This window comes from Homo sapiens, chromosome 14 (assembly GCF_000001405.40).
Source record: "Homo sapiens chromosome 14, GRCh38.p14 Primary Assembly".
NCBI lineage: Eukaryota > Metazoa > Chordata > Mammalia > Primates > Hominidae > Homo > Homo sapiens.
In genome coordinates, this window is record NC_000014.9 from 35,128,576 (window position 1) to 35,144,940 (window position 16,365).

At 43.4% G+C, this 16,365-nt stretch overlaps 1 protein-coding gene, 1 long non-coding RNA gene and 1 pseudogene across 10 annotated transcripts in view; 2 read left to right on the top strand and 1 right to left on the bottom strand.

Moving 5' to 3' along the window:
* PRORP-PSMA6 (PRORP-PSMA6 readthrough) overlaps positions 1 to 16,365 on the top strand; it is a 195,633-nt gene that overhangs the window by 6,737 nt on the left and 172,531 nt on the right. The window lies entirely within an intron of this gene.
* The window catches only part of PRORP (protein only RNase P catalytic subunit), a 155,784-nt gene that overhangs the window by 6,737 nt on the left and 132,682 nt on the right, over positions 1 to 16,365 (top strand). The gene's annotated exons all lie outside the window — the stretch shown is intronic.
* On the bottom strand, positions 15,446 to 15,905 carry RPL23AP70 (ribosomal protein L23a pseudogene 70; annotated as a pseudogene).

A 16,365-nucleotide genomic window follows, 5' to 3' on the forward strand; every position in this document is an offset into this window, starting at 1 on the left:
TGTCTAGGAATTTGGCCATTTCCTGTAGGTTTTCCAATTTATTGGCATATGGTTGCTCATAGTAGCCACTAATGATCCTTTGAATTTCTGCAGTATTTGTTGTAATGTCTTCTTTTTCATCTCTGATTTTATTTGGGTCTTCTCTCCTTTTTTCTTAGTCTGGCTAAAGGTTTATCAATTTTGTTTAACTTTTCAAAAAACCAACTTTTTGTTTCATGATCTTTTGTATGGTTTTCTTAATTCCAATTTCATTTATTTCTACTCTGATCTTTATTATTTAGTCTCTCCATTTTGGGTTTGGTTTACTCTTGCTTTTCTAGTTCTTTAAGACGCATATTTGGCCGGGCGCGATGGCTCATGCCTGTAATCCCAGCACTTTGGGAGACCAAGGCTGGTGGATCACCTGAGGTCAGGAGTTCGAGACCGGCCTGGCTAACATAGTGAAACCCCGTTTCTACTAAAAATACAAAAAAAAAAAAAAAATTAGCTGGGCATGGCGGCGCACGCTGGTAATCCCAGCTACTCGTGAGGTTGAGGCAGGAGAATCGCTTGAACCCAGGAGGCGGAGGTTGAAGTGAGCCGAGATCACGCCATTGCACTCCAGCTTGGGCAACAAGAGTGAAACTCCATCTCAAAAAAAAAAGATGCATATTTAGGTTGTTTATTTTAAGTTTTTCTTCTGTTTTGATATAGGCACTTATAGCTGCTTTTGTTATATCCCACCGTGCCTAGATACATTTAATGTTATTATTGATAAGTAAGGACTTAGTCCTGCCATTTTGTTTTCTGGTTGTTTTGTGGTCTTATTTTTTCCTTCCTTTCTTCCCTTTAGTGAAGATGATTTTCTCTGGTGATATAATTTAGTTTCTTGCTTTTTATTTTTTGTGTATCTGTTGTATTTTTCTTTTTTTTTTTTTGAGATGGAGTATTGCTCTGTCGCCCAGGCTAGAGTGCCGTGGTGCGATCTTGGCTCGCTGCATCCTCCACCTCCTGGGTTCAGGAGATTCTCCTGCCTCAGCCTCTTGAGTAACTGGAATTACAGGCGCACACCACCATGCCCAGCAAATTTTTTTTTTTGTATTTTTAGTACAGACAGGGTTTCACCATGTTGGTCAGGCTGGCCTCGAACTCCTGACCTCATGATCTGCCTTCCTCAGCCTCCCAAAGTGCTGGGATTATAGGCGTAAGCCACCGTGCCCAGCCTTGTATGTTTTTTGATTGGAGGTTACCATGAGGCTCACTAATACTTAACTATAGCCTATTATTTTAAGCTGATAATAATTTAACACTGTATAAACAAACAAGCAAAAAGAAAACTAATAAAAACTCTACACCTTTACTTTGTCTCCCTGCTTTTTAACTTTTTATTGTTTCTATTTATATCTTACTGTACTATCAATGTCTTGAAAAGTTATAGTCGTTATTATTTTTGATTGGTTCATTGTTTAGACTTTCTTTTTTTTTTTTTTTTTTGAGACGGAGTCTCGCTCTGTTGCCTAGGCTGGGGTGCAGTGGCACAATCTCAGCTCACTGCAGCCTCTGCCCCCCAGGTTCAAGTGATTCTTCTGCCTCAGCCTCCCGAGTAGCTGGGACTACAGGTGCCCGCCACCATGCCCGGCTAATTTTTTTGTATTTTTTAGTTGAGACGGGGCTTCACCATGTTAACCAGGATGGTCTTGATCTCCTGACCTCATGATTTGCCCGCCTCGGCCTCCCAAACTGCTGGGATTACAGGCGTAAGGCACTGCCTCACTAAACTCATTGTTTAGTCTTTCTAAAGATAAGAGTAGTTTTAGTTTACACACCATAGTTACAGTGTTATAATATACTATGTCTTTTTGTGTACTTATTATTAACAGTGAGTTATGTACCCTCAGATGATTTCTTATTGCTCATTAATGTCCTTTTCTTTTTTTTTTTCATTGAGATGGAGTCTCACTCTGTCGCCCAGGTTGGAATGGAGTGGCACGATCTCAGCTCACTCCAACCTCCGCCCCCACTGGGTTCAAGTGATTCTTGAGTCTTACCCTCCCAAGTAGCTAGGATTACAGGTACCCTCCACCAGACCCGGCTAATTTTTGTATTTTTAGTAGAGACAGGGTTTCACCATGTTGGCCAGGCTGGTTTCGAACTCCCAACCTTACTTTATCCAGCTGCGTCGGCCTCCCAAAATGCTGGGATTACAGGTGTGAGCTACTGCACCCGGCCTATGTCCTTTTCTTTCTGCCATTTTTTTTTTTTAAATATAGAGACAGGGTCTTACTATGCTGCCCAGGCTGGTCTCAAACTCTTGGGCTCAAGTGATCTTCCCACCTTGGCCTCCCAAAGTGCTGGAATTATAGGCGTGAGTCACCAGAGTAACGGTCCTTTTCTTCTTCTTCTTTTTTTTTGAGGCAGTCACTCTGTCGCCCAGGCTGGAGTGCAATGGCGCGATCTCAGCTTACTGCAACCTCCGCCTCCTGGGTTCAAGTGATTCTCCTGCCTCAGCCTCTGAATAGCTAGGATTATAGGCGTGCACCACCAGACCTGGCTAGTTTTTGTATTTTTAATAGAGACGGGGTTTCACCATGTTGACCAGGCTGGTCTTGAACTCCTGACCTCAGGTGATCCACCCACCTCGGCCTCCCAAAGTGCTGGAATTACAGGCATGAGCCACCACAGCTGGCCATCCTTTTCTTTCTGATTGAAGTACTCCTTAGCATTTATTGTAGGATAGGTCTGGTGTTGATGTAATCTCTCAGCTTTTGTTTGTCTGGGAAAGTCTTTATTTCTCCTTCATGTCTGAAGGATATTTTCACTGCATATACTATTCTGGGGTAAAAGTGTTTTTCCTTCAGCACTTTAAATATGTCATGCCATTCTTTCCTGGCCTGTAAGGTTTCCACTGAAAAGTCTGCTGCCAGATGTATTTTAGCTCCATTGTATGTTATTTGTTTTTTTCTCTAGTTGCTTTTTGGTTTTTTTTTTTTTTGAGACAGAGTCTTGCTCTGTCACCCAGGCTGGAGTGCAGTGGTGCTATTTCGGCTCACTGCAACCTCCACCTCCTGGGTTCAAGCGATTCTCCTTCTTCAGCCTTCCGAGTAGCTGGGATTACAGGCATCTGCCACCATACCCAGCTAATTTTTATATTTTTAGTAGAGACAGGGTTTCACTATGTTAGCCAGGCTGATCTCGAACTCCTGACCTCAGGTGATTCGCCTGCCTCAGCCTCCCAAAGTGCTGGGATTATAGATAGGTGTGAGCCACCACACCTAGCCAATCCTTTCTTTTTTTCTTTTTTTGAGAAGAAATCTCACTCTTGTCCCCTAGGCTGGAGTGCAGTGGTGCTATTTTGGCTCACTGCAACCTCCGCCTCCCAGGTTCAAGTGATTCTCCTGCCTCAGCCTCCCAAGTAGCTGGGATTACAGGCACCTGCCACCACGCCTGGCTAATTTTTGTATTTTTAGTAGCGACGGGTTTCACCATGTTGGCCAGGCTGGTCTCGAACTCCTGACCTGAGGTGATCCGTCCGCCTCGGCCTCCGAAAGTGCTGGAATTACAGGCATGAGCCACTGCGCCCAGCCCCAATCCTTTCTTTATCCGTTGAAGGTTGGATTATTCAACTGGGTGTGGTGGCTCACACTTGTAATCCCAGCACTTTGGGAGGCTGAGGTGGGTGGATCAGCTGGGGTCAGGAGTTCGAGACCAGCCTGGCCAACGTGGTGAAACCCCGTCTCTACAAAATATATAAAAATTAGCCAGGCGTGGTGGCGGGCCTCTGTAATTCCAGTTACGTAGGAGGCTGAGGCAGGAGAATCGTTTGAACCTGGGAGCCGGAGGTTGCGGTGAGCCAAGGTCACACTACTGCACTCCAGCCTGGGCAACAAGAGCAAATCTCCATCTCAAAAAAATAAAAAACAAGAAAAAAAAGAAAGTTGGATTATTCGTCCAGGCATTGTGGCTCACGCCTGTAATCCCAGCACTTTGGGAGGCCGAGGTGGGTGTGAATCACCTGAGTTTAGGAGTTTAAGACCAGCCTGGCCAACATGGTGAAACCCTGTCTCTACTAAAAATAAAAAAAAATTAGCTGGAAATGGTGGTGCGTGCCTGTAATCCTACCTACTCGGGAGGCTGAAGCAGGGGAATCATTTGAACCCGTGAAGCGGAGGTTGTAGTGAGCCAAGATTGCGCCACAGTACTCCAGCCTGGGCGACAGAGTGAGACTCCATCAAAAAAAAAAAAAAAAGGGAAGAAGGAAAGGAAAGGAAAGCAAAGCAAAGGAAAGGGAAGGAAGAAGGAAGAAGGAAGGAAAGTAAGTTTGATCATTCAATGCTTTGAGTTAGTGTTTTTTTGTTTTGTTTTGTTTTGTTTTGTTTTGTTTTTTTGAGACGGAGTGTTGTTCTGTTGCCCAGGCTGGAGTGCAATGGCATGATCTTGGCTCACTGCAACCTCTGCCTCCCAGGTTCAAGCGATTATCCTGCCTCAGCCTCTTGAGTAGCTGGGATTACAGGTTCACGTCACCACGCCCAGCTAATTTTTGTATTTTTAGTAGAGATGGGGTTTCACCATGTTGGCCAGGCTGGTCTCGAACTCCTGACCTCATGATCTGCCCACTTGGCCTCCCAAAGTGATGGGATTACGGGCGTGAGCTACCATGCCCAGCCCTAACTGTGTATTTTCAAATAGCCTGTCTTCAATCTCACTAATTCTTCTGTGTGATCCCTTCTGCTGTTAAAGGACTCTGATGCATTCTTCAGCATGCCAGTTACATTTTTCAGCTTCAGAATTTCTGCTTGATTCTTTTTAATTTTTTTTCAATCTCTTTGTTAAATTTATCTGGTAGAATTCTGAATTCCTTCTTGGGTTATCTTGAATTTCTTTGAGTTTACTCAGTAGAGCTATTTTGAATTCTCTGTCTGAAAGGTCACACATCTGTTTCTCCAGTATTGTTCCCTGCTGCCTTATTTAGTTCATTTTGTGATGTCCTGTTTTCCTGGATGGTCTTGATACCATGTCTGGGCATTGAAGAGTTAGGTATTTATTGTAGTCTTTGCAGTCTGGGCTTGTTTGTACCTTTCCTTCCTGAGAAGGCTTTCCAGATACTTAAAAGGACTTGGGTGTTGTGATCTAAGTTGTATGTGCTTTAGGGGGCAGCCAAAGCCCAGTAATGCTGTGGTAAGAGGTACTGCCTTCATGGCCTTGAACAAGATCAGGGAGAATTCTCTGGATTACTAGGCAGAAGCTCTTGTTCTCTTCCCTTACTTTTTCCTAAACAAACAGTCTCTCCCTCTCATTCTGAGCCACCTGGAGCTGAGGACGTAGTCACACAAATACCCTTGTGGCCACCACCACTAGAACTGTGCTGGGCCAGACCTGAAGCCAGCAGAGCACTGGATCTTGCCCAAAGCCTGCTTAACTACTCCCTGGCTACTGTCTGTGTTCACTCAAGGCCCTGGGGCACTACAATCAGCAGTTGGTAAAGCCAGCCAGGCCTGTGTTCTTCCCTTCAGGGCGACAAGTTCCCCCAGGCCTCAGCAGGTCCAGAAGTGCCATTTGGGAGCCAGGGAGTAGAGTCAAAAATCTTAGAAGTCTACCTGGTGTTCTGTTGTATTGTGGCTGAGCTGGCATTCAAATGATAAGACACAGTTCTTCCCACTCTTCCCTCCCGTTTCCAAAAGCAGAGGAGCCCCACCGTGTGGCCACCGCCACCACCAGCCCACAGGGAGTTCTGCCAGGCTCCCACTGATGTTCTCATAAGGCCGAAAGGCTCTTCAGTCAGCTTGTGGTGCATGCTGCCTGGCCTGGGACTCACCCTTAGTGCTCTACCCACCTCTGGCTGAGGTGGTACCTGAAGCTAGCAATATCAGAGTCTCACTCAAGGCCCATGATGTACTACCTGGATATTGCTGCTGCTTATTCAGGGCCCAAGGGCTCTTCAGTTAGCAGGTGATGAATCCTTCCATGATTGGGTTCTTCCCTTCAAGGCAGTGAGTTCCCTTCTGGCTCAGAGTGTGTCTAGAAATGTCCAGGAGCTAGGGCCTAGAAAAGGGGGTGTCTCATGACTCTGACCGGTACCCCATCCTGCTGTAGCTGAGCTGGTGTCCAAGATGCAAGACAAAGTCCTCCCCACTCTTCCATCTCTTCTCAAGTAGAAGGAGTGGGTCTGTTTAGGAGACTGTGAGATGTGCGGCCTGGGCTTAGGGGAGGTATGGCACCAGTACTCCCCTAGCTATCGTCTCAGTAGGTCACATGCCCCTACCAGTCCACTGGCTCTGAGCCCAGTTCACCACTAGGACTCACCTAAGAGTTGCAATCCTTGTGGCTTAGACTGCCTTTCAAATTTATTTACGGGCCTGGAGCACTTTGGCCCATGGTGGTGAGGCTTGTGGGAACTCCAGTTTCAACCACTGGGATGGGCAATTTCCCTCTGGCTAGAGCTAGTTTAAATGCCCCTTCTGTGGGTGGGTATCAGCTGAGTTTGTTCTATTTTTGCTTTCTGCTATAACAGGGCAGCACTGAGTTCAATGCAGTGTCTCACAATTGCTGCACTCTCCCTCTCCCAAACACTCAGAGTCTTTCTCTGCACCACATTGCTGCTGCAGGGGGATGGGAGAGGAATGGCAGTGGTGATTCAAGACTGTTTTTCCTACCTCTTCAGTGCCTCTTTCAGTGATACAAAGTTAAAACCAGGTACTGTGAGTCCTCACCTGATTTTTGGTTCTTTTGAAGGTGCTTTTTTTACATGTGTAGATAGTTGTTAAATTGGTGTCCTTGCAAGTGGACGATCAGTGGAGCCTTTTATTCTGCCTTCTTGCTCCACCCCTTCTCCTCTGTCTATGGTACTTTTGTCCTGCAGAGTTGAGTAGATATAAAGGAGAACATGTGGCCTACAGAGCCTGAAATATTTACCATTTGGCCCTTAACAGAAAAAAATTGCTGATCCCTGGTATCAATGAATATCATAAACCTCTGGAGAAGTAATGAGTGTGAAGGAGCAGTGGCATCCAGGAGAGGGCCTCTCCTTTCTCATTGGTTGGTCCTATAGCATACTATAGGATAATGAGCAGCTATTATTAAGAAACATTGTCATAGGTTCTGGGGAGCCATTAACGTGTTTTAAGCAGGCCGGGCATAGTGGCTTATGCCTGTAATCCCAGCACTTTGGGTGGCCGAGGCGGGCAGATCATGAAGTCAGGAGTTTGAGACCAGCCTGGGCAATATGGGAAAACCCCGTCTCTACTAAAAATACAAAAATTAGCTGGTCGTGGTGGCGTGCACCTGTAGTCCCAGCTACTAAGGAGGCTGAGGCAGAAGAATCGCTGGAACCTGGGAGGCGGAGGTTGCAGTGAGCTGAGATCATGCCACTGCACTCCAGCCTGGGCGTCAGAGCAAGACTCTGTCTCAAAAAAAAAAAAAAAAAGTGTTTTAAGCAAAAGTATGATATGTATATTTTAGAGAGACCTCTCTGGCAGCTGGTTGGAAAAAGGAGTTGAAAAGGATAAGATTGAGGCACTGGAGTTGAGTCAGACGGCTGCTGAGTGGTCCAGGTGTGGGATGATGAGGGAAATGAAAGCCAGAATAAGGGTAGAGAAGGACCAGCTCAGCTTTGAGAACATTTTAGGAGATAAAAATTTCACCATTTGGTTTGGCTGCAGTGATGGGAGAAGACAGGATGATGTTCAGGTTTTCGGCTTGGGTGATGGGGTGAACAAACTCTCACTCCCTAATTCCTTTTCTTTTGTCACCCTGGAAAGATGCCATCTACCAAGAACAGGTATGAGGAGAAGATAATTGAATATCCGACAACGGGTTTTTTTGTTTTTTTGGTTTTTTTTTTGAAACAGAGTTTCGCTGTTGTTGCCCAGGCTGGAGTGCAATGGCGCAATCTCTGCTTACCGCAACCTCCGCCTCTCGGGTTTAAGCAATTCTCCTGTCTCAGCCGCCTGAGTAGCTGGGATTACAGGCATGCACCACCACACCCGGCTAATTTTGTATTTTTAGTAGAGACGGGGGTTTCTCCATATTGGTGAGGCTGGTCTCGAACTCCCAGCCTCAGGTGATCCACCCACCTCGGCCTCCCAAAGTGCTGGGATTACAGGTGTGAGCCACCGCACCTGGCCCATATTGGGTTTTAATGTCAGCAGAAGATCCAGGACTTGGGTTCCAGCTTACAGGGGAGAGTTAATGCTGGAGGTTTGGGGACCATCACATAATAGTAATAGGTTAAATGCGAAGAGTGCCTGAGCTCATCCAGGAAAACAGTGAGAACAGTAGTGGGCTCAATTCACAACTTGGTGGGGGTGGGATGGGGAACACCAGCATAGGAAGGAAGGTCAGAGAAGAAGTTTCATATATTAGATAGAACAGTCAGAACAAGGCAGAAAGAATCTATTCAGTACAGTGTCACAAATATCAAAACAGAGTGCAATACACTAGAGATTTGTTAAGGTGTGGACTGAAGGGATACATTGGATTTGGCAACTAAGAAATCATTGATGACCTTGGGAAGAACAGTTTCAGTAGTTTAATGGGGGCCAAATTCAGCCAGGTTATAGCAGCTGAGTGAATACCCATTGAGTGTAAACTCTAATTTTAAGAAGTTTACATGAAAATTAGAAAGATGATATAGTGGTGGCTAGAGGATGGTGGAGTCAAGGGAGGGTTTAGAGAGATAGGCTTGTGCCTGTTTGGAGGATGAAGAAAAGGTATCAATAGAGATAAAAAATATTGAGTATACAGGATATGTAGGAGAGAAAAAGGAATATTGCTGAGTAAAAGTAGCAGGGGTTGCCAAAAAGAGCACAAATGTGGAGGTTGGAAATGAAGGAAATATCATTTGAGGCTGTAGAAAAGAAAGTGAAGATGGGTGTGGATGATAAATTGGTAGAAAGAGGGAACATTGAGAGAAATGATACCTGCTGTGTTAAGTGGTATACAAGATGAGAGAGATGAGAGTCAAGTAGAGTACTAGAGAGAGTGGGGAAGGTTTGGAATGGTTCTTGAGGGGATGTCAAGATGCTAACTCAAGGCAGAAGGATTATGGCAGAGGGTGGGTGCTGAGGTTTGAATCTGTGAATCTGTAGACATTACTCTGTGTGATTGTGTGATTTAATATATTTCCAACAGAGCTTGGCTCACCAAGAGCAGAGGTAGTAAAGACAAAGGGTAGCGTTGGTCCAGAGTTTGGGTTTTGTTGGTTAGATGTGGCACATGATAGAGAGCAAGAGAAGGCGATTCTGACAAAGTAGTTAACATGGTCTGCATGGGGTCCAGGCCAGATAGGAAAGGGAGGAAGGCCAAAGAGCACTATATGAGAGGATTCCAGGGACTGGTTGTCTCTTCGTGCATGTACATGTGTGTGTTGGTTTTGTTTTGGTTGGTTGGTTGTTTTTTTTCCTCACCATTTGTATTAATTTGCTAAAGCTGCTATTGCAAATACCACAAACCAGGTGGCTTTAACAGCAGAAATTCATTTTCTCACCATTCTGGATTCTAGAAGTCCAAGATCAAGGTGTTGTCAGCTTTGGTTTCTCTTGATCCCTCTCTCTTTGGCTTGCCGATGGCTACCTTCTTGTGGTATCTTCACATGGCCTTCCTCTGGTGTATTCCTGGTATCATCTTTGTATGTACAAATTTCCTCTTATAAGGACACCCATCAGATTTGATTAGGGCCCATCCTTATGACCTTATTTTACCTTAATTACCTCTTTAAAGGCCTATCTCCAAATACAGTCACATTCTGAAATACTATGGGCTGAGACTTCAACATATGAATTTGGTGAGTGGACACAAGTCAGTCCGTAATACCGTTCATTGTAAATATGCGTTAATAAAACTATATTATATTCAGCATTTTAAATTATTTTGTGTTAGGAACATTAGAAACATCTAGTTGACAAATAGCTGGATCTGCCTTCAATGTTGCTTTCTAAAGCTTGCTTATAATTTGAGAATATGAGGTATAAACCAAGGAATAATTATTAAAGGAATAAATTATTAAATAATTATTAAATTATTAAATCTACTTAAAAAAATTTTGCCAACTGACCTCCATAAACACCTAAAATGAGCATTATAAAAGTTATTTTAGGCTTATATGTTTTCCCCAAATAGTACTGTTGTTCAAAACAAAGTAAATTAGATGACACCCTCTAATGTAGCGGCTTTCAACTGTGGCTGCTGGTTAGAATACTTGGGAAGTGTTTAAAACTGCTACCTGGACCTCAGCCACTAAAGATATTGATTTTTTTTTTTTAGACGGAGTCTCCCTCTGTCGCTCAGGCTGGAGTACAGTGGTGCCATCTGGGCTCACTGCACCCTCTGTCTCCTGGGTTCACATGAGTCTCCTGCCTCAGCCTCCCGAGTGGCTGGGACTACAGGTGCATACCACCATGCCTGGCTAATTTTTGTATTTTTTGTAGAGACGGGGTTTTACCATGTTGGCTAGGCTGGTGTCGAACTCCTGACCAAAAGTGATCCACCCACCTCAGCCTCCCGAAGTGCTGGGATTACAGGCATGAGCCGCCATGCCCGGCCAAAGATACTGATTTTTCATACAAGTCCTTTTGGTTTTGTTGTTAAAATTAGAGATAGGGTCTCACTGTGTTGCTCAGGCTGGTCTTGAGCTCCTGGGCTCAAGTGATTCTCCTGCCTTGGCCTCCTAAGGTTCTGGGATTACAGGTGTGAGCCACCGTGCCCAGGAATATTTTGATTTTTCAACTATAGTTTTATTGCAGTATATTTGACATACAGTAAACAGCAGATATTTAAAGTGTACAACTTTATGAGTTTTGTCATATGTATATACCTGTGGAACTGTCACTGCAATCAAGATAATGAACATATGGATCACCCCCAAAAGTTTCCTCATGCCATTTTGTAATGACTCCCTTGCCCTGCCATCCCCAGGCAACCACTATGGAATCATACAATATATACTTTTTTTTTTGGTCTGATTTGTTTTATTCAGCATAATCATTTTGAGATTTCATCCTTGTTTTGTGTCTCAATCATTCTTTCATTTTTATAATTGAGTAGTATTCCATTGTGTGACTATTTTACAATTTGTACATTTGTTGATGGACATTTAGGTTATTTCCAGTTTGGTGCTGTTATAAATAAAGCTGATTAGAACAGTCTTGAACAAGTCTTTGTGCTTTTGTTATTGTTTCCTAGGGCTGCCCTAACAAATTACCACAAACTGGGTAGCTTCAAATGACAGATATTTACTCTCTCACAATTCTGGAGGCTAGAAATCTGAAATCAAGATGTTGGCAAGGTCATGCTCCTTTTGAAGGATCCAGGGAAGAATCCTTCCTTCTCTTTCCTACCTTCAGAAGCCAGATCCTGGCAATTGATGGTGTTCCTTGGCTTTTAGCTGCATCACTCCATTCTCTGCGTCTGTCTTCATGTGGCCTTTGTGTGTGTGTATCTCTGTGTGCCATCTCTTCCTCTTATAAGGCTACAAGTTATGGGATTTAGAGCCCACCCTAATCTAGCATGACCTTGTCTTATTTCATTTACAAAGACCCTCTTTCTACATTCACATTCTGTGTTTCCTGCTAGACATAAATTTTGAGGTTACACTATTCAACCTACTACAGCTTTTTTTTTCTCTTGGGTAACTCTCTTAGGACTGGAATGGTTTGGTCTTATGGTAGATGTCTTATGGTAGATATGTGTGTGTGTGTGTCGCTTTTTCAGAAACTGCCCAACTGTTTTCCAGAGTGGTTGTACCATTTTACATTTCCACCAGCAGAGTATGAGGGCTATAGTAGCCCCACATCCTGGCTGATGCTTAGTATGGTTAAGGTTAGTCTCTTTACTGTTCTAATAGGTATGAAGTGGTATCTCATTGTGATTTTAATTTAGATTTTCCTAATGACTAATGTTGTTGAGCATCTTTTTATATGCTTAATTGCCATCCATATATCTTTGGTATAATATTTATTTGTTCAGATTTTTTGCCTATTTTAAAAATTGGATTGTTTCATTATTGAGTTGTAAGAACTGTTTCTATATTCTAGATACAAGTCCTAAGTCCAATATATTTTACAAATATTTTCTGTCAGTCTGTGGTTGACTTTCATTTCATAACATGGAGATTCTGATTTAATTGCTTTGGCTTGGTGGGGTCCAGGTATTAGGATTTTCAAAAGCTTCCAGGTGATTTTAAAGTGCAGCTAGAATCAAGGACAATTGCTTCTAATGTGAGATTTTGAGGAAACTTAAAGTATGGCAGCTTCTTTTCTGTTGAATAGTTTTGGGAGAAAAATCTCAGTTATTATATAAGGTAATTTTTTAGCTTTTCTGTTTTAAACATTTGTTTACTGTAATTAGACAACATAGCCAGCAGATGGCAATAATGTAACATATAAAAATTATTCTAGGTATGACCAAGTCCATCAGGTTAAAGGATTTGTTGAACTTTTTAAAATATTAAACTGAAAGATATCTGTCATTTCTGTGTAAGTCAGATTAGTGATAGTAGGTAGAGAAAAGAGTGGTATATGTGAATTTTAAGTGAACAAAGCAGAATTCCAAATAATTTGCATCTACTGATTTAACTACTGACACTAATTGAGTGGGCATCAGTGAAGGTCAAAAAGTGAATTTGGAGCTATGCGCATAGTGTTACTTTAATGTTAATTAGGTTTTTTTCTTATTTTCCTTCCTTCTTTTTCTTTTTTTTTTTGTTTTTGTTTGTTTGTTTTGTTTTGTTTTTTGAGACAAGTTCTTACTATTCACCCAGGCTGGAATACAGTGGCATGATCATAACTCACTGCAGCCTTGAACTCCTGGGCTGAAGTAATCCTCCTGCCTCATCCTCCTGGGTAGCTAGGATTCAGGTGTGTACCATCACATCTGGCTAATTTTTTTATTTTAATTTTTTCTGTAGAGACGGGGTCTCACTATGTTGCCTAGGCTGGTCTTGAACTCCTGGCTTCTAGTGGTCCTCCCACCTTGGCCTCCCAAAGTGCTGAGATTTCAGGTGTGAGCTACTATGCCTAGACATGGTTCTTGATAATAACATTAAATTACAGTCAGATTTTTTATATTCAACTACAAAGATAATAATTCTTTAATATTTTCATTAGAGAAAATTTCAAACATAATCAAAAAGAGACTAACATAATGGACCCCCATCCTCCATGATTATTAACTCATGACCACTTTTTTTTTGACAGGGTCTTGCTCTGTCACCTAAGCTGGAGTGCAGTGGCACAATCACGGCTCACTGCAGCTGAGACCTCCTGGGCTCAAGTGATCCTCCCACCTCAGCCTCATGAGTAGCTGGGACTACAGGCATGTGGCACAACACCTGGGCAATTTTTTTTTTTTAAGACGGAGTGTTGCTGTTGTTGCCCAGGCTGGAGTGCAATGGCACGATTTCGGCTCACTGCAACCTCTGCCTCCTGGGTTCAAACGATTCTCCTGCCTCAGCCTCCTGAGTAGCTGGGATTACAGGTGCCTGCAACCACGCCCAGCTAATTTTTGTATTTTTAGTGGAGACAGGGTTTCACCATGTTGGCCAGGCTGGTCTTGAACTCCTGACCTCAGCTGATCCATCCGCCTCGGCCTCCTAAAGTGCTGGGATTACAGGCGTGAGCCACCGCGCCCAGCCTTAATTTATTATCTTATGTAGAGATGGAGTCTCATTATGTTGCCAAGGCTGGTGTTGAACTCCTGGGCTCAAGCATTCCTCCCACCTCAGCCTCCCAAAGTGCTGGGATAATAAGTGTGAGCCACCACACCTGGAAGCTCATCCTGTAAATTATAAATTCATTGCTTTTTTTTTTTTTTTTTTCCAAGAGATGACGCCTTGCTCTTTTGCCCAAGCTGGGGTGCAATGGTGTGATCATAGCTCACTGCAGCAATGAACTCCTGGGCTGGAGCAATCCTCCCACCTCAACTTCCCAAGTAGCTAGGACTTACAGGTGCATGCCACCCTGCCCTGCTAATTTTTAAATTAAAAAAAAAAAAATTTTAGATAGGGTAGAGATGGCATTGGGCTTGGTGGCTCACACCTGTAATCCTAGCACTTTGGGAGGCCGAGGTGGGTGGATTGCCTGAGCTCAGAAGTTTGAGACTAGCCTGGACAACATGGCAAAACCCGTTCTCTAATAAAAATACAAAAAATTAGCTGGGCATAGTGGCTCATGCCTGTAGTCCTAGCTACTCGGGAGGCTGAGGCAGGAGAATTGCTTGAACCCAGGAAGCTGAGGTTGCAGTGAGCTGAGATCGCGCCACTGCATTCCAGCAGCCTAGGTGACAGAGTGAGACTCTTGTCTCAAAAAAAAAAAAATTGTAAAGATGGGATCTCACTATGTGGTCCAGGCTGGTCTTGATGCCCTGAGCTCAAGTGATCCTCTTGCCTTGGCTTCCCGAAGTGCTGGGATTACAGGCATAAGCCACCATGCTTGGCCTAAATTCTCTCTTAAACAGCTTTCTTTGTTTTCTTGTTGTAAAAAGTACTTCTTTGTAAAGCTATATTTTTCGTGTACTTTAAGAAATACTTTAGAATTGCAGTTCTTAACCTTTTGGTCTCGGGACCCTTTTACATATTTAAACATTATTGAACATTCTAGAGAGCTTTTGTTTTTTGTTTTGTTTTAAGCGAGACAGTCTCTCTCTGTTGCTCAGGCTGGAGTGCAGTGGCGCAATCGCTGCTCACTGCAACCTCTGCCTCCCAGGTCCCAGGTTCAAGCGATTCTCCTGCCTCAGCCTCCCCCGAGTAGCTGGGATTACAGGCATATGCCACCACACCCGGCTAATTTTTGTATTTTTAGTAGAGACGGGGTTTCACCATGTTGGCCAGGATGGTCTCGAACTCCTGACCTCAAGTGATCCAGCCGCCTCGGCTTCCCAAAGTGCTGGGATTATAGGCATGAGCCACTGTGCCCAGCCAGATATATATTAATTTATTGAAAATAATATAAAAACTATTATAAAACATAACATTTTTATAGAAAATAATTCTGTTGTCCAGAATAAAACCAATATTAGTGAGAAGAGTACATTGTATTACATTTTTGCAGGTCTTTTAAATAATATGGCTTAATAAAAGACAGATAGTTTTTGTTTGTTTGTTTGTTTGTTTGTTTGTTTTTGAGACAGAGTTTTGCTCTTGTTGCCTAGGCTGGAGTGCAATGGCGCGATCTCGGCTCACCGCAACCTCCGCCTCCGAGGTTCAAGCGATTCTCCTGCCTCAGCCTTCCCAAGTAGCTGGGATTACAGGCATGCGCCACCAAGCCTGGCTAATTTTGTATTTTTAGTAGAGATGGGGTTTCTCCATGTTGGTCAGGCTGGTCTCAAACTCCCGACCTCAGGTGATCCGCCCACCGCAGCCTCCCAAAGTGCTGGGATTACAGGCGTGAGTCACCGCGCCCGGCCAAAGACAGGTAGTTTTTTAAATAAGTGGCAAAAAAAAAACCCTTATATTTAGAATTAGCTATTCGGACTCAGTTTAGGTTATCCCAGTTTTACTGGCAACATCCAAAACATCATAGTTAGGAGCCAGTCAAACATAGGCTGCCTTCTCTCCATCAGTCCTGATTAGGGTGTTGATCGTGGTCATGTCAGTGTCACAGACCTTCATATAGCCTGTTTGATCTGGTGCTTGTTGGCTTTGATAACCACAGTGAACACAGATGTGGTATTGTCTTCTTCATGGTCAGCTCAGTGGTCAAGGGGAACTTGATGGCATAATAGTCCAGCTTGTATATCCTGCAGGTTCTCTACTGAGGATGTTTGGGCTACCTTCAAAGCCAAAGTGTGTTGGGCTACTGGAACATAGGTGACCTGCAGATATTTTTTTGTGTGTGTGACTGGATGCCTTTCAACACTGCCTTGCTGGCCTTAAAAGCCTTAGCTTTGGATTTGGCTTTGGGAGGAGCAGGGATTTCCTTCTTTGCTTTCAGCATCATCATTTTGGTGAAAAGGGTTGACACCTGGATTTTTATATCTATTTCTATATTCAGTCTGTTGTGGTATGGTATGGCGTTTTGGTAGAAGCATATGAAGAAAATGAAAGCTCATGGAAATAGGTAGTTGGAAAGCAAAGAGGATTTTGTTGGCTCTTGGAGATAATCATAATCGTTCTTTGATACTATGCCCAAACTCTACTGTACACTTGTGAGCAAATGAGAGTGAAAAAGGCATATAACGTCTTAGCATTATGAAAATAGTTTTAACTTTGCAGATCCCCTGAGAGGGTCTTGGGGATACCCAGCAGTCCTTGAACCACAGTTTTAGAAAGTACTCTGGTTTAGATATGATTTTCTTTTTCTTTCTATTGTAAAAGTTCAAGTAAAGTTTATTTCCCTCTATCTTATTACACAAGCATATTAACAAAGGAAGCTAAAACAAAGACAGCAGTCTCAGTAC